This window comes from Homo sapiens, chromosome 3 (genome assembly GCF_000001405.40).
Source record: "Homo sapiens chromosome 3, GRCh38.p14 Primary Assembly".
Taxonomy (NCBI): Eukaryota; Metazoa; Chordata; class Mammalia; order Primates; family Hominidae; genus Homo; species Homo sapiens.
The window spans coordinates 157,491,797-157,514,534 of record NC_000003.12 but is presented as its reverse complement, the minus strand read 5'-3'; the positions used below and the strand labels follow the sequence as shown (position 1 = coordinate 157,514,534).

Genomic DNA, 22,738 nt, shown 5'->3' with positions numbered 1-22,738 from the left:
CAGGCAGCCCAGACCAAGTGTACTCTTTCAACCTTAAATCCACATTACCTCTCAGTAAAATTCTGCAAATCACGTAGAGCTTCATCAATAGAGGAATGGATATAAAGGAATATAGGAATGGATATAAAAAATGCACTATATTCATAACATGAAATGCTATCAGCAACTAAAAGGATAGCGATCTATTTATCTATCTACCTATCATCTATCTATCATCTATGCATCCATCCGTATGTAGCTATATTATTCATGTACATATGAATAGCTTTCAAAGCATAGTTGAAAATTTTTTCAATGTAAAAAATATTTATATATGAATATAAATTATTTATAAATGAATGCCTCTCAAAACAGAAAGATTTCATTTCTTTTTGAAGCTCAAAAATTCTGACGCAATGATTTTGCTTTCTGAAATATCTCTTTAGATAAATCTGTTTCAATTCTAAAAGCATTGATAGAAATCTAATTTTATGACATTTTCATATCTGTTGATCTTTTTTTCATGACAGCATTGCAAAAACAAAAATTCAAATCAGATCAGAATATTTTTTTCTGTAGCTTAGTGAATCTTAGTTATATATGGTTATATAATTTCATTTTAAATTTATTAATGTTAACATATTTTTTCCTATTCTAAAATAACATGATCAGTGCAGAAAAATCAATAAGAGAAGTAAAATAATAAAAAAAGGCACTCCTGTGACCTCATCAGAGTAGATATCCACCTTTAACACCCTGGTGATTAGTTTCCCTCCCTCCCTCCCTCTCTCCCTCCCTCCCTCCCTCCCTTCCTTCCTTCCTTTCCTCCCTCCCTCCCTCCTTCCTTCCCTCCCTCCCTCCCTCCTTCCTTCCTTCCTTCTTTCCCCCGCCCCTTTTTGTTTCTCATTTATTCACCTGTCTATCTGGATATTTATCCATGAAAAAATGGCCCCTGTTTCTCTTGTATGAATAAAGCTAGTTATCTTACAGCAGATCTGCTTTTTTCAGGTAAGAGTCAATTGATTCTTTCTTTTAGTTATGTAATGAAGAATGAAGAGGTTCTCACTGTCCTTGGAAAATGTATTGTGGAAAGTTTTCTGGTCTTAGAAAAGCCACTGTTCACAATATTTCTTGAAATGTAGACTCCATCCTGATAAGAGATGGATCAATTTCTATTAAAAAAAAAAGAAACAAACAAAATATCCAAATGTTGGAGCATGGTTAAGATGAAAAAAAACAGTATATTTATAGAATATAAATGGAATATTATTTTATATTTAAATGATATAGATGAATATTATTTATCTGAAAAGATGTTTGCAACATATGTAAAAAAAGAGATTATATTATTCAGTATAATCTCTATTTTTTTTTAAAAAAAATGTATAAATGTGTAAGCCATAGGACCCACTTCACTGTGTTAGGGAACAAATGTGGTCACATTTAATTTTTTTTAATTAAAAAAATTTTATTTTTCTAGTTAATATTCACTTTCTCACTTCTCCTTACTATCAGAAAATACAATGTTTTTCTTTTATGCCAAGCATGTCTCCATTGTCTCCAATTGGAGATTTCTCAGTTTAGGCTAGTCTTGCTTCCAAATGCCAGCTGGAGAGAGAGATCAAGTCTGACAAGCTTACCATTATCAGTGTTGTAGATGCCATACTGTGGGTCACCGAGGACTGGTCCATTGCCCAGGCTCTTATCCAAGACTGCTGTAGAGCTGCTGCTTTTAAAGTTTGGGTCCCTGCCTCAGTGGTCCCCAAGCTTGGTCCCAAGGTCTCAGCTCCTCAGATCTCTGTCACATGTTCAGCCTCAGAGGAGGAGCTTTCACTATCAGCCACAGCTGGGCCCAAATCCTTAGACCCTTGAGTCTGAGTCATCAGGCGAGACTCCTCCACTGCTCTTGTGACTCCCACCTGGAGCCATTTCTGTGAGCGGAACATGGACTTGTTCTTTTCTGTATGAACTGTCACGTTCCTCTGACTTCAAGTCTTGGCGAGAATTTTCCCTTTCCATTTTTTGCTGTTATAAGACATTCACAGCACTGTGATGAATGTCTTTATAACCAAGTCCTAGAAGTTGAATATCTGGATCCAAAGATACACATTTTTATAGATTTTGACAAGCCAAGTTGACCTTCAGAAAAGTCATAGTGATTTACATTTACACCAACAGTATAAGAATGTGTCTTTTTTTTCATCTTTGCCAGTACTGGGGATGATTTTTTAACAGCTTTGTTGAGGTATAATAGACATAATTGTACATATATAAAGTGTACTCTCTTATAGGTTTTGACATATGTATACTTGTGAAATTATCCCAATCGAGACAATGAACACATCCTCCTCTCCTAGAGTTTCATGACTCTTTATAACTCCTCCCTCACAGCTCTTGCTCCCCTCCCCAGCATATCCAAGCAACCACTGATCTTCCTTCTGTAACTACAGATTACTTTATATTTCTCACAAATTTATTTAAATAGAGTCATACAGTAGCAGCCTTTTTTTTACTGGCTATTTCACACTGTGTAATGATTTTGAGATTCATCCATGTTAGATCTAAATATTTCAGTCCTTTGTATTACTGAGTAGTATTCCATTGTATGGATATACCCTAATTTATTTATTCATTCATCTTCTCATAGACATTTGGTTTTTGTCTAGTTTTGGACATTACAAATAAAGCTGCTATAGACATTCACATGCATTTGCATAGACGTGTGTTTTCATTTCTCTCAGATAAATACATAGATGTAGAAAGGCTGAATCCATGTACAGGTTGAGAATCTCTTATCAGAAATGCTTGGGACCAGAAATGTTTTGGAGTTCAGATTTTTAAAAAATTTTTTGGAATATTTGCATTAACTTACTGGTTAAGCATCCCTAATCCAAAAATCTAAAATCCAAAATGCTCCAATGAGCATTTCCTCTGTGTGTCATGTCGGTACTCAAAAAATTTTGGATTTTGGAGCATTTCCAATGTCAGGTTTTGGATTAGGGATGCTCAACCTGTATGCAACTTTTTAAGAAACTGCCAAATGGTTTTTCCAAAGTGTTTTACCACTTTTAATTCCTACCATCAGTGTATAAGAAGTTCCAGTTGCCCCTTATCTTCATAAAGACTTGATATGGTCAGGTTGTTTTTTTTAATTATTATATTATAAGTTCTGGGATACATGTGCAGAACGAGTAAGTTTGTTACATAGGTATACATGTGCCACAGTGGTTTGCTGCACCCATCAACCCACCATCTAGGTTTTAAGCCCCACATGTATTAGGTATTTGCCCTAATGCTCTCCCTCCCCTTTCCCCACACCCCCCAACAGGCCCAAGTGTGTGATGTTCCCCTCCCTGTGTCCATGTGTTCTCACTGTTCAGCTCCCACTTATGAGTGAGAATATGCGGTGTTTGGTTTTCTGTTTCTGTGCTAGTTTGCTGAGAATGATGGTTTCCGGCTTCATCCATGTTCCTGCAAAGGACATGAACTCATTCTTTTTTATGGCTGCACAGTATTCAATGGTGCATATGGCCACATTCTTTTTACCCATTCTATCATTGATGGGCATTTGGGTTGGTTCCAAGTCTTTGCTATTGTAAATAGTGCTGCAATAAACATAGGTGTGCATGTGTCTTTATAGTAGAATGATTTATAATCCTTTGGGTATATACCCAGTAATGGGATTGCTGGTATTTCTAGTTCTAGATGCTTGAGGAATCCTTGAGGATCCTCAAGGAATCGCCACACTGTCTTCCACAATGGTTGAAATAGTTTACACTCCCATCAACAGTGTAAAAGCATTCCTATTTCCCCACATTCTCTCCAGCATCTGTTGTTTTCTGATTTTTTAGTGATCGCCATTCTAACTGGCATGAGATGGTCTCTCATTATGGTTTTGATTTGCATTTCTCTAATGACCAGTGATGATGAGCTTTTTTCGTATGTTTGTTGAGCACATAAATGTTTTCTTTTGAGAAGTGTCTGTTCATATCCTTTGCCTACTTTTTGATGGGGTTGTTTTTTTCTTGTAAATTTGTTTAAGTTCCTTGTAGATTCTGGATATTAGCCCTTTGTCAGATGGGTAGATTGCAAACATTTTCCCCTATTCTTTAGGTTGCCTGTTCACTCTGATGATAATTCCTTTTGCTGTGTAGAAGCTCCTTAGTTTAATTAGATCCCATTTGTCAATTTTGGCTTTTGTTGCAATTGCTTTTGGTGTTTTAGTCACGAAGTCTTTGCTCATGGCTATGTCCTGAATTGGATTCCCTAAGTTTTCTTCTAAGGTTTATGGTTTTAGGTTTTACATTTAAGTCTTTAATCCATCTTGAGTTAATTTTTGTTGTGTGTGTGTGTTTTTTTTTAATTTTAGACATGCTAATAGGTTTATGTAGTAGTCGCTCACTGTGGTTTTGATTTTTGGTTTTCCTAATGACTAGTTATGTTGAGTATCTTTTCACATGTTTATTTTTCATCCATAGATCTTTGGTGAAGTGCCTGTGCAAATCTCGTGACCATTTTTATTAGGTTTTTTGTTTTCTTATAAATGAGTTTCTGGAGCCCATATATTCTGAATACAAGTCTTCTATCAGCAATATGTTTTGCAAATATATTTTCCAAGTATATGTCTTGTCTTTTCCTTCTCTTAACAGTATTTTTTGAAGAACAAAAATTTTTAATTTTATAAAGTAATTTATCAACATTTTAAAAATAAATCATGGTTTTGGTGTCATATATAAGAAAGATTTACTTAACTCAGGTTCATAAAAATTTTGTTTTATGTTTAGTTTAGAAGTTTTATAGTTTTAACTTTTATGTTTATGATCTATTTGAAGTTAATTTTTATATGTGGAATTAACTATGGATCAGAGTGTTTTCTTAGCATATAGATATACAACTGTTCCAGTACTGTTTTTTGAAAAAAACCTATTGTTTCTCCACTGAAATAGCTTTACACAAACATGAGTTGTTTATACATGTGTGTTTCTATTTCTGAGTTCTGTTTTGATTCATCTGTCTATCTTGATTTGACACCACACTGTCTGGTTTTGATATAAGAGTAAGGGTGGCTTCATGAAATGAGTTGTGAAATAAAGTTTCTGAAATAATTTGTATATAATGGTTATTATTTCTTTCTTAATCATTTTGTAGAATACCAGTGAAGCCATCTATGTCTCAAATTTTCTTTATGTGAATGTTTTTAAGTATACTTTCAATTTTAAAGTAAATAAATATAGGGCTATTCTGGTTATCCAGTTTTTCTAGAGTGAGCTTTGACAGTTTTTGTCCTCAAGGAATTTGTCCACTTCATCTAAGTTGTTGAATTTATTGACATAAATTTCCATAAAATTGTCTTACTTTCCTTTTAATATCTCCAGAATCTGTAGTGATGTTAACTCATTTATTCCTGATACTGGTAATTTGCATCTTTTCTCTATTTTTCCTATCAGGTTGGCTAGCATTTTTTCAGTAAAAGGATATGTCCCCTTTCTTTCTCTTTGCTAATACTGGAAAAATTAGAATTATTTTTTACCAGTTTGGCAAGAAAAATTTGCATATCAGTCAATGGGTTTCTTTGCTGTCCCTCTCCTTCTGCATCAGAATTATTTTCAATTATAGAATTGTTATTTCACTGATGTTTTTATAAAGAAAGCATCATTCATGAATTTTTTATTGAATTCTTTCCTTGTGCTAATAGTAGTAGAGCTGAGGTTCCTCAGATGAGTTAAAACCTCATGCCTGTCCTTGAGGGGTTGTCAGCTAGTGGGAGAGAATGAGAATTATATAGTAGAGGTCTGTAGGAGTTACCCTGTGGAGACAAAGGAAGATGTGATCAGCTCTACTAGGCATGCATATCTTTCCAGAGAGGAAGAGGTAAGAGTTATGGTTGGAAGATGAGTTGGCATTTTATAGACAGATCATGGTGTTTGAGATTGAGGGACTGGCAGGAGCAAGGCACAGAAGTAGAAGGGAGAGTGACGAGTATATATCATCAGTCAGGGTTTTTTAGTTGCAAGTGACAGAAGCATTTCTTGGGTGACTAAACAGTTATGGATTTTATTATGATAATGGAAATTCACAAAATTGCTGGGAGAACTGAATAATCAAAACCACACTGGAGAACAGGCATTATGAGGAAGCCCCTGCTGCTCCTGTACTAGGTCCTATGGGAAACCACCACTGCCCCCACAGGTGCCAATGCTGAGCCAGGAACTTGCTCTTGCTACCACATCTGCCCATGAAGGACAGAGCTTTCTGCTACCAAATTCAATGACACAGTGGTTTCTACAGTCATCCTTCACCAGATCGTTTACTTCTAAATCACAGTTTTGCATGGAGAGTTTGATTGAGCTTAAATTACCTTCACCCATTTATTCAAAGTTTATTCAACAACTCAGGTTCATATTAAGTGCCAGATATCATGTCAAAGTCTAGGGATCAAGCGAACAAATAAAGTATCTGCCCTCATAAAGTTTATATTCTAGAGACAGTGGCGAGAGAAGGGTAATTTTTAAAAAGAAATAAGTAAATTTATAGTATGTCAGTTGATAGTAAGTGCTATGGACAAAAATTTGAAAATAAAGCAGGAAACGAGACATGCCTGGAAGGGAGGGTATGTTGCTCTTTTACAGAGATTGATCAAGGGAAACATGTATGGGTAATGTATAGTAAAGATATGAAGGAAGTGAAGAAGCAAGCCATGTGAACTTCTGGAGTAAAAGCCTGCTAGGCAGAGGGAATAGCGAATGCAAAGGCTCTGTGGTGGGAATTACCTATTGTGACCAAGGATTAACAAGGAAACTCTGTGTAGCTCCAGTGTAACTGGAGCAGAGAGATCAAAACAAAGAATTGTAAGAGATAAAGTTGAAGATGTGGGGGAGATGGGGAAGCCATATCATATAGGGCTTTGTTAATCATTGAAAGGACTCTGGCTTTGACTCAGGGTGAGATGTAGAGCCATTCAATTGCACTGTATTGAATAGAGGAGAGTCAGTTCTGGCTTGTATTTTAGTAGGATCACCTGGATGCTCTGTTTAGACTATATTTTCGCATACCAAAGACAGAATCCAGGGACCCATTGCAATAATCCAAGTTAGAGTTGAGATGATGGTGTTTTGATCACAGACAACAGTGGTAGTAAAGATGGTGAAAAGTGATAGGCTCTTGGATGTATTCTGAGTGTAGTGACCTCACTACACAGGGTTGTGTGTGCATAAGCAAGGGAAGCAAAGATGAAGAGTCAGGTGCAGACTAGATTACAAAGTCCCTTGTGTGCCAAGCAAAGGAACTTGATTTCATCCTCAGGTAATGGGTGCCACTTGTGAATTTTAAGCAGAGATTCATATATCATATTTTATTTTAGAAAGCTGATTTAGTGGCAGAAGTGAGAATGAAGTTGAAGAGGCCATGTTAGAGGCAGGGAGACCTTTGAAGAGACTAATGTCAATAGCCAGACAAGAAAGGATGAAGAATTTACAAAGACAATAGCTATTTATCTATGACAGTAGATAGGGGGAAAATGGTTGTATATTCATTTTCTGTTACTCTGTAACAATTACCATGAACTTAGTTACTTAAACAACACACATTTATTATTTCATACTTTCTGTGGGCTAAGAGTTCAGTCTTGGCTTAGATGGTTCCTCTGCTCAGAATCTCACAGGGCTGTAGCCAGAGCATTGGCTGGGCTGTGTTCTCATGTGGAAGCTTGTCTGGGGATCTTCCAAGTTCACTAAGGTTGTTGGAAGAATTCATTCATTTGTGTCTGAAGGACTGAGGGCCCTGGCTTCTTGCTGGTTGTTGGCTGCAGGCCACCTTTAGCTCCTAGACTCTACTCATAGTTCTTTGTCATGTGGGCTTTCTCAACATGGCCCATTACTCCATCAATCCAGCAAGGAGACTCTCTAGAGGAAGTTTGCCAGCAATATGGAGCCTTAGCAATATAAGGCAATCACAGGAATAGCATTTTATCATCTTACTTCATTCTATTCATTAGAAGCAAGTCACAAGTCTCACCTATACTCAAGTGGGAAAAATTACACAAGGGGGAAATAAACACCGGAAAGTGGATCATCGAGGGCCACCTTGGGATCTATCCAGAATGTTAAGGACACAGAATAGATAAGACCCAGAGAGTCACTGGATGTGGGTAAGAAAAGGAAGGGGAGAAATACAGGATGACACTCAGCTTTCCTGTTTGTATACTTGGTAGATGGTGAGGGCCCTCACCAAAATAAACACGGAAGGAGGAGCTAGTTTGGGAGAATAATGAGTCTTCTTTAATTTGGGAGCATGTTTTATCAAAATGTTCTTTATTATAATGAAAAAAAATGAATAAACCTTAGCCATAGGGCCCTATTCCTGTTCTTAAAGAAACTTGACTCTTGGCCGGGTGCAGTGGCTCATGCCTGTAATTCCAACACTTTGGGAGGCTGAGGCTGGTGGATCACTTGAGGTCAGAAGTTTGAGATCAGCCTGGCCAACATGGCGAAACCCTGTCTCTACTAAAATACAAACAAACTAAAAAAAAAAAAAAAAAAAAATTAGCCGGGTGTGGTGGTGTGCGCCTGTAATTCCAGCTACTAGGGAGGCTGAGGTGGGAGAATTGCTTGAACCCAGGAGGCAGAGGTTGCAGTGAGCCAAGATCGCACCACTGCACTTCAGCCTGGGCAATAGGGCGAGACTTCTTCTCAAAAAAAAAAAGAAAGAAAGAAAGAAAGAAAGAAAGAAAGAAACTTGACTGTCATAGTTCATGCCACATGCTATTTTGCTGAGCCAAAAGGGAGTTCCTGGCTGTGTCTGAGTTTTTGTGCCTGCAATGGACTCTTCAAAGCTGGAAGGCTGACCATAGAAATGGTGTGCTTACAGGAGCTTTCATGATTACAGGTAAGAAAAACTGTTTATAGAAAATGAAATCATTCAGAAGTTCTCAGTGTTTATATGTAACTCACCTATGTAAGTTGCCTTAGAATTTACCTCTTTTCTGTAAAGAAAACGTCTTTGTCTGATTTTGTGGTTACAGACAATGTTTTATTTCAAGTTTCCCAAAGGAGGGGAAGGAGTGAGAGTTAGACAAGAACAGAGGGGAAAAATAAAGACAAAGCAATACTCTGTAAAACTGATTACTCAAATACATTTTTGACAAACAGGTGTAATATCTGGTTGCTGTTGCCATTCTGCCACCAAGAAACCTGATGACTTCATTTGGGCCTCTTCAACCAGCTGCCCCTAAAGCTAGCAAGCTCCACCCTTCAGTGTCCACTGATAAATTCCTTAATAGCGTAAGTGATTTTAGGAAATTTTTGAAAATTGTGTATGAATGGATGGATTCCATGACAAGGGTATTGAGGTCAAATGGTATGTGGCTAGGTACTGCCAGGCAAGTCTAAGAGATTAAATTTAATTATTTTGGGGGACTCAAGTATTGAGGAAATGACTATGTAGCTGGTTAGGAAAAAATAATTTAGAAGGTCCTGTTTTCAGGTACACTGAATGACTACATTCCTTTCCAGGCCTTTCTTGCATCTGCTAGTTGTCAGAGGAAGCCTGTGGTTGTCACTGAAGGAGCCCATTTGTCATAGATAGTTCCTGTTGAGTCTCTTAGTCCACTTAATTTTCAATGAGCTGCACCCAGGAGAGACTTCCCACAAAACTAGGTTAGGCTGATTCTGTCAGGTGGAAATTTTTTAATGGTAAATGGCAGAAAACCCAATCTAAAATCACTTAAGCTATTAAGGAATTTATTAGTGTACACTGAAGGGTAGGTCTTGCTAGCATTAGGGGCAGGTGGTTTAAGGGGCCCAAATGAAGTCAACAGTTTTCTTGGTGGCAAGAGGGCAATAGCAGCCAGACCTTACACCTTCTTATCATCAAGTCCAGCAGCTTAGACTTTTTACTCCCAAAGCTGAGCTTTCATCATTGTCCTCTCATTGGCCTAGAAGGGGTCGCACACCTGCCCTGCATTAGTCACTATGATCACAGGAATGCAATTACTCTAATTTGGGTAAGACCAATTAAGGCCCATCCTGTTTATGGGCATCAGCTGTACCCAAAGGACATGGTTTCCCAAGGGAAATTTGGGTGCAGTTTTGACTAAAAGTAGAGTAAGTGAATGTTGAGTGTCAAACACAAGAGAAAGTAATCTTCACCCCATGAGTAGTCCTTTTAATTGGACTAGTAATTTTTTTACATGCAGCATGATTGCCACTGAATGGAAATATTTTTATTTCCACTTGTACATCTTACACCTGACTTTCCCCACTGCAGCCCCCGCCCCCACCCTCCCTGTTACCCTCACATGGTTTGACTGAAAGTTCCGGTCGGGAGAGACTCAGAAATGTTTTATCACTTTATGTGAAGGCAAAACCTCAGATCAATAAGGGAAGAAAGCCCATGCCATACACTTAAAGGGAGAGAAGAGCCTCTAGATATAATAATCCACTGGGCACCACCAATTAATTTATGCATTAGAGGTTTTAAAGTGCATTCTCCTTAAAAGAGAGAGAGAGATGAGGCGATGTGGGAGTGCTTGTGAGGGATCCCCAATGAATTAGGTTTGAAAAGATGAGTTCTATATTTGGATGGTAAAAGGAAGGAGTTAGAAATTTGAGTGGATGCAAGAAGGAACCATGAGGGTTCAGAAAAATCTCTAGTGCTACCAGGGAAGTTTCATTAAGTTGTTGTGTGTTTCGTAAGCAATACCAATAGTATAATTAGACTTTTGCTCCTTTACCCTAGCTATTTTGCTTCTCTTGTGGTATTTTTCTTCTATCATATTTGGCTTAAATACCATTTCATTCCAGTGCTTCCCTTCCTGCATTCCCTCCCCAAGCCTTTTTCCTGATGCCTGCTAAAAGGCCCCACATCTGATATTAACCTAAAACTTCCTTGATTTCTTAAAGTGAGTTATTCATTAACAGAACCTAAATTACTGGTTGTTAGGCAAATCTAATTCTTTCAAACTACAGATCTGCTCAGAGAAATCTGTAAATCTAGTGTAGAAATAAGTGAAGCTTTGCGTCAATTGTTAGGTCTAAGCAGAAGTTTGGGAGAGAGAAGAAAAGTTACTCATTTGCCTGATTCCGCACGGTGAGTCAATGGGGAGGGAATGAAATGTACCACTGGCTTGACAGGCAGCTCAGGGAGACGCGGCTGCAGCCCACAGGACTGGGCAGCAGCTGCAAGGCTGCCTCTGAGCATGGTCATGGGTCCCAGCTGCAGTGCTCTAAAGATCAAGGATTTTGCCTTCTATTTTCTATGACCAGAGATTCCTGTGCAAAGAGGTATGGCTATCTTCTTTCATGACCTTTTGTTCAGCAAAAACAAAAGCTAATTAAAGTAAATGTCAGAGGCTGCAAAGAAGCAAAGAGTGGGGGATAGGAGAATGGAGCTGAGAAACTTCCAGGGGCTGGCTGATTATGCAGATAAAGCACATTTGGGAGCTGTGTGTCTAGCCATGTATGCAGGCATTTCGGTTATTAGAGTAAAAATGCCACTTCTCTGTGGGTTATTAAAACATGTCTCTAGGCCTCAGGAGCAGAAAGCTGTGCTTCTAGATTCATATCATGTGCATTTTTGTTTTACTCCGTAATAATCTAGTCTCATTTCTATTTTATACTTTTGTTTACTTCAATCAACATTTTGCAACCAGCAAAGAAACTGGCTCTGCCTACGGATTTTCAAAGAAAATTAAATATTATAGCATCATTACAGTCAGTGGGTTGAACAGGGTCACCATTACTGTTTGTTGCTGCTGCCGTTTTTTCCTTTGGTGTTTCAGATATCTTACAAATCATAATTAAATCTAACCACTTTTTTACTCTTTCAGATACACACTTAAATTGTTGTAGTAATCAACCATTGGATTAAATGACATTTATATATTTTTGATTTAAAAAGCAGAAAAAAATATTTAGAGAAATATTTGAGTTGGTCATATAGATATTTGGTACATGAAACTTAAATGTAAATGAAGATACATTTAACATTGAGTTTTCCATGTAGTTTGAGAGTTTTGGTACATTTTCTGGAAGAACAAACCCACGAATTTGAATTAGGATTTTTCAGCAAGATTTGTATTATTCCAGAGCAAAAATGACCAACAAAGTCAACATTTACAGGTGAAAATGAATACACTATAAAATTATGACAAGTCACAAAAGCCTTGATTTTAGAAAGTTTATTAGACTTGAAGATAAGTGTTTCTCATCCTTTTTGAAGGAAATGTTTCCTATTTGTGTTTTAATAAGTTGAAATAGGTAATCAAAATTAAGTAGTTTTTTGGGCTCTTGACTAAATAGGTCACCAAATCTATTTTTTTCATGTACTTATGAAATAAGCCTGCTACAAACTTAGATCGTATGTACTCTAGCAAAAAGACAGGGCTGAAGCCTTTAGCATTGCTTAGAATAAGCCAGACTCAGAGGCTTTCAGTAGAAGTGAAGTGTAGCAGCACGCCACAGCCAAGGAAGCCCAGAGACATCCAGGGAACAATAGACATCTTGTGGGAAGGGCTGAAATGTATGCAGCCAATTCCCATGGGAACGCCTGTAGTCCTTTCACGCTGTGTGAAAAAGATGCTCCTTCAAAAGAATCTGTAATCCTTTCTTTCAAGGGAAAAATCTGAGAACTTTATTGAAAGTTTCTAGAGCCCAAATGGGTCTAAGTTTGTTAATGAGCATTTTTAATACAGGTGAATAAAATGAAAATGTTTTGATGCAGAGTAATGTAGTCTAAAGCGTAATGTAAATAAATATTGTCATTCTAGAATTTTCTGAAGTGAGGAAGCCAGGGTATACCCTAACCTAAGTTGCAAGCTAGAGGCTGAATTCTTCAGAATAAGTTGGTTTCTTGAGTTAATTATGGTGATTGAAATCTCCCCCAAGAGTTTCAATTATTCTATAGGCAGTATCCCAATAGTGTGGCGATTAAGTCCTCCAGTTCATGTATATTTTCATTTAGCAGAATCTACAGATGCATAATAGAGTAAGCCACTAATGTTTTATTAGTGGGCATTGAGTGTACGTCACCTTGAAAAGTAGTAAAGAAAGTAGCTGGAGCCCTGGAGGGCCACTCCTTTCTCACTAATAAACACGGGAAGGAGTGCTACACTTCCATGGAAAACTCAGGTGTTTGGATTACCCAGCCACAAAAAGTTTGAGATACATTGTATTCTAGCCCATTTCTGCTCTGTAAAAACATTCACTGTTATTGTTCAACCTTGGTGTGGGTAGGATCACCGTAAAACTATCTCTCCAGGAAACAAGATAAGGTTGCCAAAAAATCAACAGGGACCCATTCAAGAGAATGAAGTTTACAGATGAAAAGTGAACAACCCAGAGGTAAGGACAGGATGACTAAGATAGAGAAAGGACAACAAAGATATAAATATGGCTCAAATGGAAACAACCTAAACATCTTTAGCTCTGTGAACCCAATTTAGTGAACAGTACAGTCATGTATTAATTTTTAAAAGGTATGGCATGGGGATGTGTTAACTGGTGGACCATCTATAGGAATAATAGTACTCTTAAGGATATGATTGCTGGCACTTTTTCTGTGGTTGCCATATGCCAGGCTCTGTGTTAAATGTTTTATATCATCTCCTTAAACCTCCCAACAACCCATATCACAATCCTCAGGAGCAAAGGAGGAATTCCAGGCTCAGGGAGTCTAATTAACCTGCCCACATTTACACTGCAGGTAATGGCATAGCTGAGCTTGGAATCCAGTTGAGTCTAGATTCCCATACTCTTATCACTCTGCTCTTCTTACTGGAGTTCCATAGAGTGTCCAATTCAGGACTCTACACCCTTTAAAAAAATAAAACTGGATAAAAATCTAGGGATTAAAAATCAGTAATAATGAATAGAGGATTAAAAGGGAAGGCTAAAGCAATATCATCTATTCCATTAAAAGACGAAACTTCATTAGTATATTGTAAATTAGAAAAACTACTAATGAAAAAATACAGCTACTCATGAATGACTGGATTCTTGATTTTTATAAAGGAATTCTTCAAGGGGATAGTTCTCCAAATGTGGATGGCATAAAAATATGATTGATCACCAACTGTCTAGGCAGATTTACGAGGTCGTTCTCCTGGAACATATGACCTGGTTTAACTGTGGCCACCCTGACCACACCCTTTGAGTAGACACACCCTAGTGAGCACAAAGATGAGATTATCTGCAGGATAGCTGCCTGTACACATTGCCAGAAGTGAGATGATTTGATATAGCTATAGATCTACCACAGGAACAGACGACTTAGGGGTCGAGAAGAATGCAGTCTTAAAAACCTTGCTTTTTAAAGTGCACTGTTAACTGTTTAAAGAATAAAGGAAGGTTCCAGTGCCCTTTTCTCCATCGGAGTGTCAGTAGATTAAGCAGGATAAACCTTTTGCCTGAGTGTTGCTGCAATATTTAAAAGTACAAATCCAATATTTCTGGTCCACGTGGATTTCTATGAATAGCTTCCCAGCAAATAACGAAAAAAAGAGAGTACGTATGTTGTGAAGTTTGTTCTGTTTATTAGCAACTTCCCGCATACTTCAACTTTCAACAATTTTACTCTAGAGGCAGAGTAAAGGGATACTTTCTTTAGGAGGTGACTCTTACTGGACGAACACTCAGTGTTTCCAAAACGTTTGTGAGATCTCAGGGAGAGGGAAGTGTTAATGAAGCTGCAGTTCTCTTCTCCTCCCCTGGAGCTCTGAGAGGTGGCTCCCTACAGCCATTCCGTTCACCTGCTTGAGTTCTGTTGAAAATTGTTTCCTGCGTGGCTCGCCCCCGCCCCCCATTCTTCCCTGGGAAAGTATAGATTTTCACGAACACAGGGAGTTCTGTTTTCTCTGTTAAAAACAACTCTCCTTTACTGGAGCAGGCTTTGTGTTTCACCTCAGGAAACAGAGCGTTGCACTGGGAGGTAACTCCGCTGGGTGAGGTGCAGCCTGTCACCTGACCGGTCTCTGGGGCTGCCGGTGGCATCAGGCTGCATTCCTTGAATTCTTCCACCCGGCACCGGCTCCGCAATGAACAACTTCAGGTTCACTGAGCTGAGCGGATTCCACTCGCTGTGCCCTCGGAGCCTGCCTGAATCTCCCGCCCAGTCTCAAACCATGCAGCTGAGTAACTGCAAGGGCGCCTTTGAGGAGTAGCACGCAGGTAAAGTCGAGTTTGCGCGGGACAGCTGTGACTCCCTGAAATGTGCCACGTTTTGCGCCATCATTTCTGTTTTTGTGGTTTCTGTTTCTCCCTACAGAAAGCTGATTCGCCAGCAAATACCTGCCAAAAAAAAAAAAAAAAACTAAATAATGAGAAGGTGGGCCTCAGATTAGAACCCCTTAAAGATTAGGGAAGGAAATTATGAAGGAAGCAAATTAAAGGCTGTAAGAATTTTATAAGCCAGCTTTTAAAAATCATACAAAAAATATGAGATTTTGGAGTCTGGCCTACCTGAATGTGAATATTGGCTCTGTGTGTAACCTTGGGCATGATACTTAACCTCACTGGTCCTGTTTCCTCTTAGGTGGTAATATCTACCTGCAGAGTTGATGGGAGAACTAAAAGAAGAAAGCATCTAGTGTCTAGCAAAAAGGTTGATGTGTAGAAAGTATTTTGAGTATGTGCACATATGTGCATGTGTGTATATGGTATGCTTGTGTGTACATGATACATGTATATGTACACGTGCACACAGGCCACAGGACTATGACATTCATAAGGGTAGGGAGTTTCTCAGAACATGAGGTAGAATTTGATCTGGCTTTGACCTTCCCTGCTATTGCAAAAAGAACAGCAGGAGAAGCCAGACACCTGAGCAAAATATTAATGAGAGCTGCTGAAAAATAAATAATGTGCCTTGCCAGTCCTTATTTAGGAAGGGATGTGCAGCATGTGGAGGTACTCATTGGATGAGAGCTGATGGGAAGGGAGACAGCTCAATAATAATTATCTCACACAGTCATGAATACAACTATCCTGGGAGACCAGCTGCCTTCAATCCTGACTTGGCAACTTACTCTTCAAGTGCCTCTGCTGGTGGTTACTTTCCTCTCTAAACATCAGTTTTTGATTGCATGGAATTGTCATAAGAATTAAGTGGCTAAGTATGTGAGAAGCACTGAGATAAGTACCTGACACATGGCAAACACCCACCAAATGTCAGTTGTGCCATTATTTTATAAAGGGCTCGTTTACACTTTATCACCTGTGACCCTCAAAACACCCTGATGAAATAGACGAGGTGTGTATTAGCCCCATTTTGCAAATAAGAAAACCAAGTCTCAAGAAAGGAAAACAACATGAACTAAAGGTCCTATAATCGCTGAATAGCTGAGCTGGGACATGACCCTTGGTTCCTAGATGAGCAGATGACTTAGTATGAACTCAGCACAAGTGCACTGAATAAAACCTGTAAAAATCTTAGCTATCCTAAAGGTGCTTCTCAAATACCATTTCCTCCATAAAGCTATTCATTATCATCTTCCCCTGGAAGTGACTTCTCTCTCCCTTGTACTTCCCCAAACTTCTTTTTGTAGTATCCAGGAGATTTTTCTCTTGGTCACTCCCATATTGTAGAAGGTGTTTTGAAGATCACAGTTGAAAACGTGCAAAAGAGCCCTTTGAAAAATAATGTGTAAGTCTCACCTCTCCCCACTCCACCCCTATGTTTGTGAAAGCTTTCCTGTATGGCTGTGTGTTAAACAACTTGATGTTTCTGTTTAGGGCCCAAAGCAATGTTTTGCATGTGATGGGCCCTCAAGAGTAAGAGCTGAAGTTGGCAGCATGAATGTGGGACTCCACACCAGGTGTCATGTAAATGTGGAGTGTGCAGAAAGAGCCCAGGAAAAGCCTGGGGGTGCTCCTCTGTACCAGCACGTATTACTGCTCCTTCTTGGAGCTCCTGAGCATCTATGACTGGGGCAGTTGAATGTACTTCATGGAGTGCCACATGTCCAACAAGCTGACAGGTCAGGTGAAGTCATTTCCATCCAATTTTCCTGAATATTATTTTACTGAGACTCTTGTCACTGTAAATATCTGAGCCTGGGAGGAAAATGTGTTAAGAGAAAAATGTAGGAAAACACTGTGCTGATTTTCCTTAGAGATATTGTGATTCACCCTCCCACATTTCCCAGGGTGCGAACTACTTTGCAGTACCTCACTGTGCTCCACCTCCCTCTGAAAGCTTACCACTCTCCTTTGCTCTTCCTCCAAGCGTCTTCTCCTGTGACTGTCTTGCTCTCTGGTTGCTCTAAATCTCAGGGCATAGAATGGGCAAGGATCCAGGAGCAGTGTAGAAGGGGAGAGGAATTCATTTTCTTGCTTGATAACCCTGCTCACACCTTCATCATTAATATTAATAATGCTCTGAGGACCTTTACTCCTAACAGTAGCCTCACATTTTACATGGAGTCAATATTTCATAATGGTTATGAACTTGGAGTCTAGCACTACTGGAGTCTCTGGGTTCAAATTCCAGCTCTCCAGTTTTGTAGCTGCATGGCTTTAGCAGTTATTTAACTACCTCAGGTTGCTCACCTACAAAGTGGGGATGACATATTTTCATATAGTTATGAGGATTAGATGAATTAATATTTACAAAGTGTTTATGCCTGGTACATAGATAAAGGCATGTAAGTGTTAGGCTTCATTTTTCAAAAGCTGGTAGATAGTACAAAAATTGCATATAGAGAGTATTTTCCTTAAAATCCCTATGACTCATGAATTGTACCACTTACAATACTACAGATAGCTTATTTAGTTGAGTGTGTAATGAAAGCTTTGGCTTGTATTTTGAGGCCATGGTGTTTGAAGAGTATGTGTCTTTAAACTTGCACTCAACACAAAGAGGTGCTCTCACAACAATAGCTCAGAGGAGAGGTCTGAGACTACCCAAGGAAACAATAGATTCTCCTCTCCCTTTTCACACTCTTTCTGGCAAACCATTCAGAGTAAAATGCTAGGTAGAAATGCCTATTACTTGTATTAAATAACTCACTCTTGGCTCTCACTAAGCATGTGGCTACATTTGTAAGCTACCCACATGTATGAGGTGATTCCACTCTACTGTAAACTGTGAGGGAAGTGCACTGGACTGAAATCAGTAGACTATCCTTGCCACAGCTATTATGGGGCCTTGGGGCAGTCATTAAACCTCACTGGACATTAAATGATTACTAAGGTCTCTGCCAGTGCAAATGGTCTGTGATTTTATTAGGCCCAGAAGGGAGCTGATGAGAATAATCAGATGTCTAATTTGTGCCATTGCCCTCCTCTCTGTAGACTGTTAATTGGGTGAGAAATATAGTGGGACTTTATTACTTCAACTGGAATAGAGGGAGAGTTGCCTGATCCCAAAGCCCTCCTCTTTAGCCCACATGGCAAGGCTATCATGTTCATTTCAGTGTTAAAGTTCATCTTCATGTTCAGTAGAGATTTATCTAACGCCATTCTCCTAAGCAGCATCTTTATTTTATTGCTACTTGATTATAGAGTACGTAGGAGTAGGGTAAGTACTGAGGTCACCTTTTTGACTGACAGAGCAGGGAACTTCTACTGCTAGCGTAGCAAGGCAGCCCAACCAAGAGGTAAGCACTGGTTTCTGTGTCCAGGTTCTGGAAGAAAGGGTTCAAGGAAGTGGGTCTAGGAGATGTTTCCTATGCTCCCTCTTTTCCTTTTGTTCTCCCTTTCTGTTTGATTCCCATGAGAATCTTTTTGAGGAAAATCTGGCAAGTGTTAGGCATGATTGTTGTTTTTCCTTGTGACATGGAGAGAAGAGAAGGATGTAGAAAGGAGAAAAGCGTAGGGCTCATGTTGACTTTTAAAGTTCAAATTAAATTCTGGAGAAACCTAGTAATTTTTGACAAGACTTTTTGAGACAAAAACAAGGAAAGAGTTCATTTAAAGATCATTAAGCCAGGATCTATTAGTCTAGGCACATGTTTCCAAGTTTCTTTTTTCTCTCTCTCTCCGCTGGACACTGAGTTCACATTCTGAGCTTATGCCATTCTGCCAGTGGCTACATTGTGTCATTTGTTTCCCTTGCAGAGAGTGTCAATGAAGACCTCAAAGTCTGGAGAAAAATGACCTTTCATGGAATAAGAAGTATACCTCCTTCTACATGTTTTTGTCTTACTGACCTCTGATAACTGGAACACATGACTCTGGGTCTGTAGAAAGTCAACTGATCAAACTCATCCTCACCATGCATCAACTGTTCAGACTGGTTTTGGGACAAAAAGATCTTTCACGAGCTGGGGACCTCTTCTCCTTAGATGACTCTGAGATTGAAGACAGCCTTACAGAAGCTTTGGAGCAAATTAAGATAATTAGCTCATCTTCAGTAAGTAAACTGGTTTATAGACTACATCTCTGAAATGGCCTGTCCTAGAGCTAGAGATTTGTTTATATCCTGGCAGAAAGATCTTTGCAGGGGAAAGAGGAAATACCACTAATATTGGTCTCTCTTAATCTGCTCTGTGGTTTTGTTGGCATCTAAGAAATATCAGTAGGGAAGTCATGGCTTAGTAGGGGGCAGTTAGATCATCTTTTGCCCACTCACAAAGACCAGAATTCTGAAAATTGCAGAGCAGCATGGAATTCTCACAAAAATATTATTTAGGGGCTATTTTTATGTCCTTGAAATGACACTGAGAGGAGAGGGAGCCAATCCAGGGAAAAGCAGACCTGCAGAGCAGCATAACAGCATCAGTAAACAAGAGCAGGGTGTGTGTGGGAGGCTGAATAATGAAAGAAGGCAGGATGACACCTCCTGCCACGCAGGTAATATGAGACAAGGACAACGATCGCTTTGCTGCCAGAAGTGACAGTTGCCCAGGACTTAATAAGGCTGATTCTGTTTACTTCTGTATTGTCTCTATTTTTATCTTTCCCTTGCTTCTTTTTCTACCCACCTGCATCCCTACTCCCTGGACCTGCCATTTAATTCCACCCACCCATTATTAGTCCCCAGTGTGATCAGACAGATGTAAAACCTCCCATCAATACTTGCATTCCTTCGCTTCTCTTCAATGTCAAGATTATATATTCTGAAAGCACTTCCCAAAGGGGATGGATGTGGAGTGCCCAGTGTGGTTTCATGTTGACCTTCTTGATTGTACTTGGACCCTCCATGAGACTGGTCCCACTTCAAAGGCCTAGGGCCACCAGGCATCCACCCACATCCTCCCAGCTCAGCAGTGTTAGCCAACACTTGGCACAGACACTCATTGGAAAGATGAAAGTGGTGGGACTCAAGCCATACAATACTGAATTGGCAAATGTGTGCATATTTCAGAAACAACAGCGCTCTTCTGTGTTACAAAGAAGATATATTTAAAAGGTATACTGGCAACCCGTGCAGCCTCCTCTTCAAGCCTATTTTCTCTTGCTGGCTGCCATTAACATGCTGAACTCCCCCCAGTGACCAATGAAGTCACTGCTCAAAAAACTCTTCTTTTCTCAGGTAATGTCTTTGATGGCAATTACTCATCCACATCTTTTCCAGAACATTAATCAACTTAGGTTGACGCAAAGCACAACATGTTCCTGGTACATTTTCATTTTCTGGGTAAGATTTTTGTCCTGTTTTCAGAAACCCCTTCTTTCACACTCCTCTGCAAATCAGTTGGCTGAAAATTACACTGGTTTTCATCTTCTTACTAGGAAAACAAAACAAAACAGTAATCAAAGATCACATAAGTTCCCTAAAGCCTACTTCCACTAGAGGTCACTAGTGGCCAGTTATTTATTTTGTTTGCATCATTAATTGCTTTGTTTCACAGACATCAAATTCAGAATTTTAGGACTGGTGACTCAGTTCTATTATATAACTCCACTGGTTAGCCATTAAGGCTGGCAGGTCCCTTGTCATTAGGATCATCGTCCATTCATTAAGCTGTCCAAATAGCATCTCACTCTACCAGGAGTTCTGGAGAGCCAGGAGTTCGTGTGTCTTCTTCATCTACTAACTTTTACCACATCTTACTTCTTCCATTTCTCTATCTGTAACCCTCTCATGGAACAGAAGAAGAATGGTAGCTTGTAATTTACATATATCAAGTTTGAGGTTACCAATGCCAGCAGCTCCTTATCTTCCTTTTCTGATTAGCACATGGAACCACCATGCCTGCTCTATGGCTTACATCCCTGTTAGCTGCGTCCCATCCTTCCCTCAGATCCAGCCCCAGCTATTCCTCTCTAGGCCTCTCCTAATGACCTTGGATCTCAGTAATCAATTCCACTTCTCAATTTCTCTTCAGAAACGTAGAACAGGAAGGGATCGTCTAAATTGCCCCTTCCAACTTCCAGCACAGAAGATTGCTGAAAAATAGGTGGCTTCTCCTGCACTTGCAATGATGCGAATATGGTGGGTTTCTAATATTTTTACCTGCTTCTCAATTTTCCTTTGGTAAATTGTCCCTTTCCATTGCATAAAACCTTGATGGCATCTCCATCAAGGTTCCCTACTCATGAGTGCCCACTACCCTTCCCTATCAGTGGTGGGGGAGAGAAGAGGTGAACACCTGGCCCAAGCTTGAAAATCAGAAGTTTTTCCCCAGTAGTTTTAAGAAAGATATCAGCAGGGGGTGATTTATCATGAGGACGGTGCCCCAAAGAAACAGTACTTTACTTCCTCCCTCTCTATCATTGTAGCTGCCTTGATCACTGCTCCTTTTAAGGCCTGGTACTTCACTTTCTCCTTCAAATAAGTGGGCCACCTCTAATCTTCTTCTTATAGCTATTATTATTATTGTTTGCTGTACTTATTCAGACTTTTTCTGTTGCTTATGATCAAAGAACCCTGACAAAGAGAGAGCATTTTCATTGTTGGGAGTTCAAATTGTTAACATGTTCCTCTGCTTAGCCAGATGAAATCTTACTTTGTACTTTCTACCTGTTGTCTCTGTTCTGTTCTCTGCCCCCAACAATCAAAAGAGTCTACCCTCTGTTTCTACAAGAAAAACTTTAAACCTTTTGAAGATAAGCACCAGGCTTCACCTCTGGCTTGTCTCATCCCAGCTAAACATCTTAGTGACCTTGGGTTTTTCCATGACAAAGAAGGAGCCTGTGTCTGGGAAAGGTTACAGCACCTCATGTTGTAGCCATCAACTGTCAGATCTGGAAAACTCAATTTTGTTGGTACCTGAGAAATGCTATCCAAATCATGCTATCCAAATACAAGACTTGGAAATATAAATTAGATTAAAACACGATGTACTGATTTACAATGAAAATTATAACTCGTACGGATCAGAATTCTTGTGTGTTTCATGCTGTTCTCAAGTCTGTTTACTCAGTCTTTCTTTGGATAAGAAATACTTTTATTGATTAGGTTTCTTCCTCCTCCATGACAATCACATTCCAGCCCTTCCTCCCTGAGATTACATCTAACTCACCTGCAAAGTCACCCATCAAAAGATAATGTCTTGGTTTAGGCCTGTACTGGCTAATCCCACTCATATGAGTGGACTTTATTGGTTTAATCCTCAAAGGACAATCTTGTTTCTGCATTGTTAGAGAAGGCTTCATTGAAGCTCCCAGGTATGGCCTACACTCTTATCATTCTGCTTACCCTCCTTTGGAATAGTCCTAATTTATTATTGTAATTTATCATTGCCCAATACTCAGACCAATTGCTTAGAACAACTACTAATACTAGTCAAATATTCTATGTTTTTAAAAAATCAGTTGTCCACATTTATCTTGTGATGTGCTAAGGCATTCAGGTTGAATCAAGACTTGTAATTAGATAAGTT

At 39.2% G+C, this 22,738-nt stretch overlaps 1 protein-coding gene across 21 annotated transcripts in view, besides 3 other annotated features; it reads left to right on the top strand.

Moving 5' to 3' along the window:
- The first annotated feature begins 10,929 nt into the window (after nt 1–10,929).
- VEPH1 (ventricular zone expressed PH domain containing 1) overlaps nt 10,930–22,738 on the top strand; it is a 243,864-nt gene continuing 232,055 nt past the window's right edge. For 5 of the 21 annotated variants that reach the window (XM_047448921.1, XM_024453746.2, XM_047448928.1 and 2 more), the window contains exons 1-3: nt 11,119–11,258; nt 14,879–15,140; nt 19,029–19,323. In XM_047448921.1, the coding sequence (XP_047304877.1) occupies nt 19,186–19,323 (138 nt within the window). In that variant the 5' untranslated portion in view covers nt 11,119–11,258; nt 14,879–15,140; nt 19,029–19,185. Of the gene's footprint in view, nt 11,065–11,118; nt 11,259–14,878; nt 15,141–19,028; nt 19,324–21,241; nt 21,349–22,738 lie in introns of those variants that run through there. The other 16 variants (XM_047448922.1, XM_024453748.2, NM_001167916.3 and 13 more) reach the window with 8 other exon arrangements.
- Nucleotides 11,092–11,326: a silencer, noted in NCBI's record as "fragment chr3:157220998-157221232 (GRCh37/hg19 assembly coordinates)". NCBI's record gives its function as "represses an EF-1alpha promoter that drives an FKBP-Casp9 reporter gene in an ReSE screen in K562 erythroleukemia cells {active_cell/tissue: K562}" and the evidence as "EXISTENCE:reporter gene assay evidence [ECO:0000049][PMID:32094911]".
- Nucleotides 14,399–14,962: an enhancer, noted in NCBI's record as "H3K27ac-H3K4me1 hESC enhancer chr3:157217362-157217925 (GRCh37/hg19 assembly coordinates)". NCBI's record gives its function as "activates a minimal SCP1, AML or CMV promoter by ChIP-STARR-seq in naive H9 embryonic stem cells {active_cell/tissue: H9 hESC(naive)}" and the evidence as "EXISTENCE:reporter gene assay evidence [ECO:0000049][PMID:30033119]".
- Nucleotides 14,963–15,527: an enhancer, noted in NCBI's record as "H3K27ac-H3K4me1 hESC enhancer chr3:157216797-157217361 (GRCh37/hg19 assembly coordinates)". NCBI's record gives its function as "activates a minimal SCP1, AML or CMV promoter by ChIP-STARR-seq in naive H9 embryonic stem cells {active_cell/tissue: H9 hESC(naive)}" and the evidence as "EXISTENCE:reporter gene assay evidence [ECO:0000049][PMID:30033119]".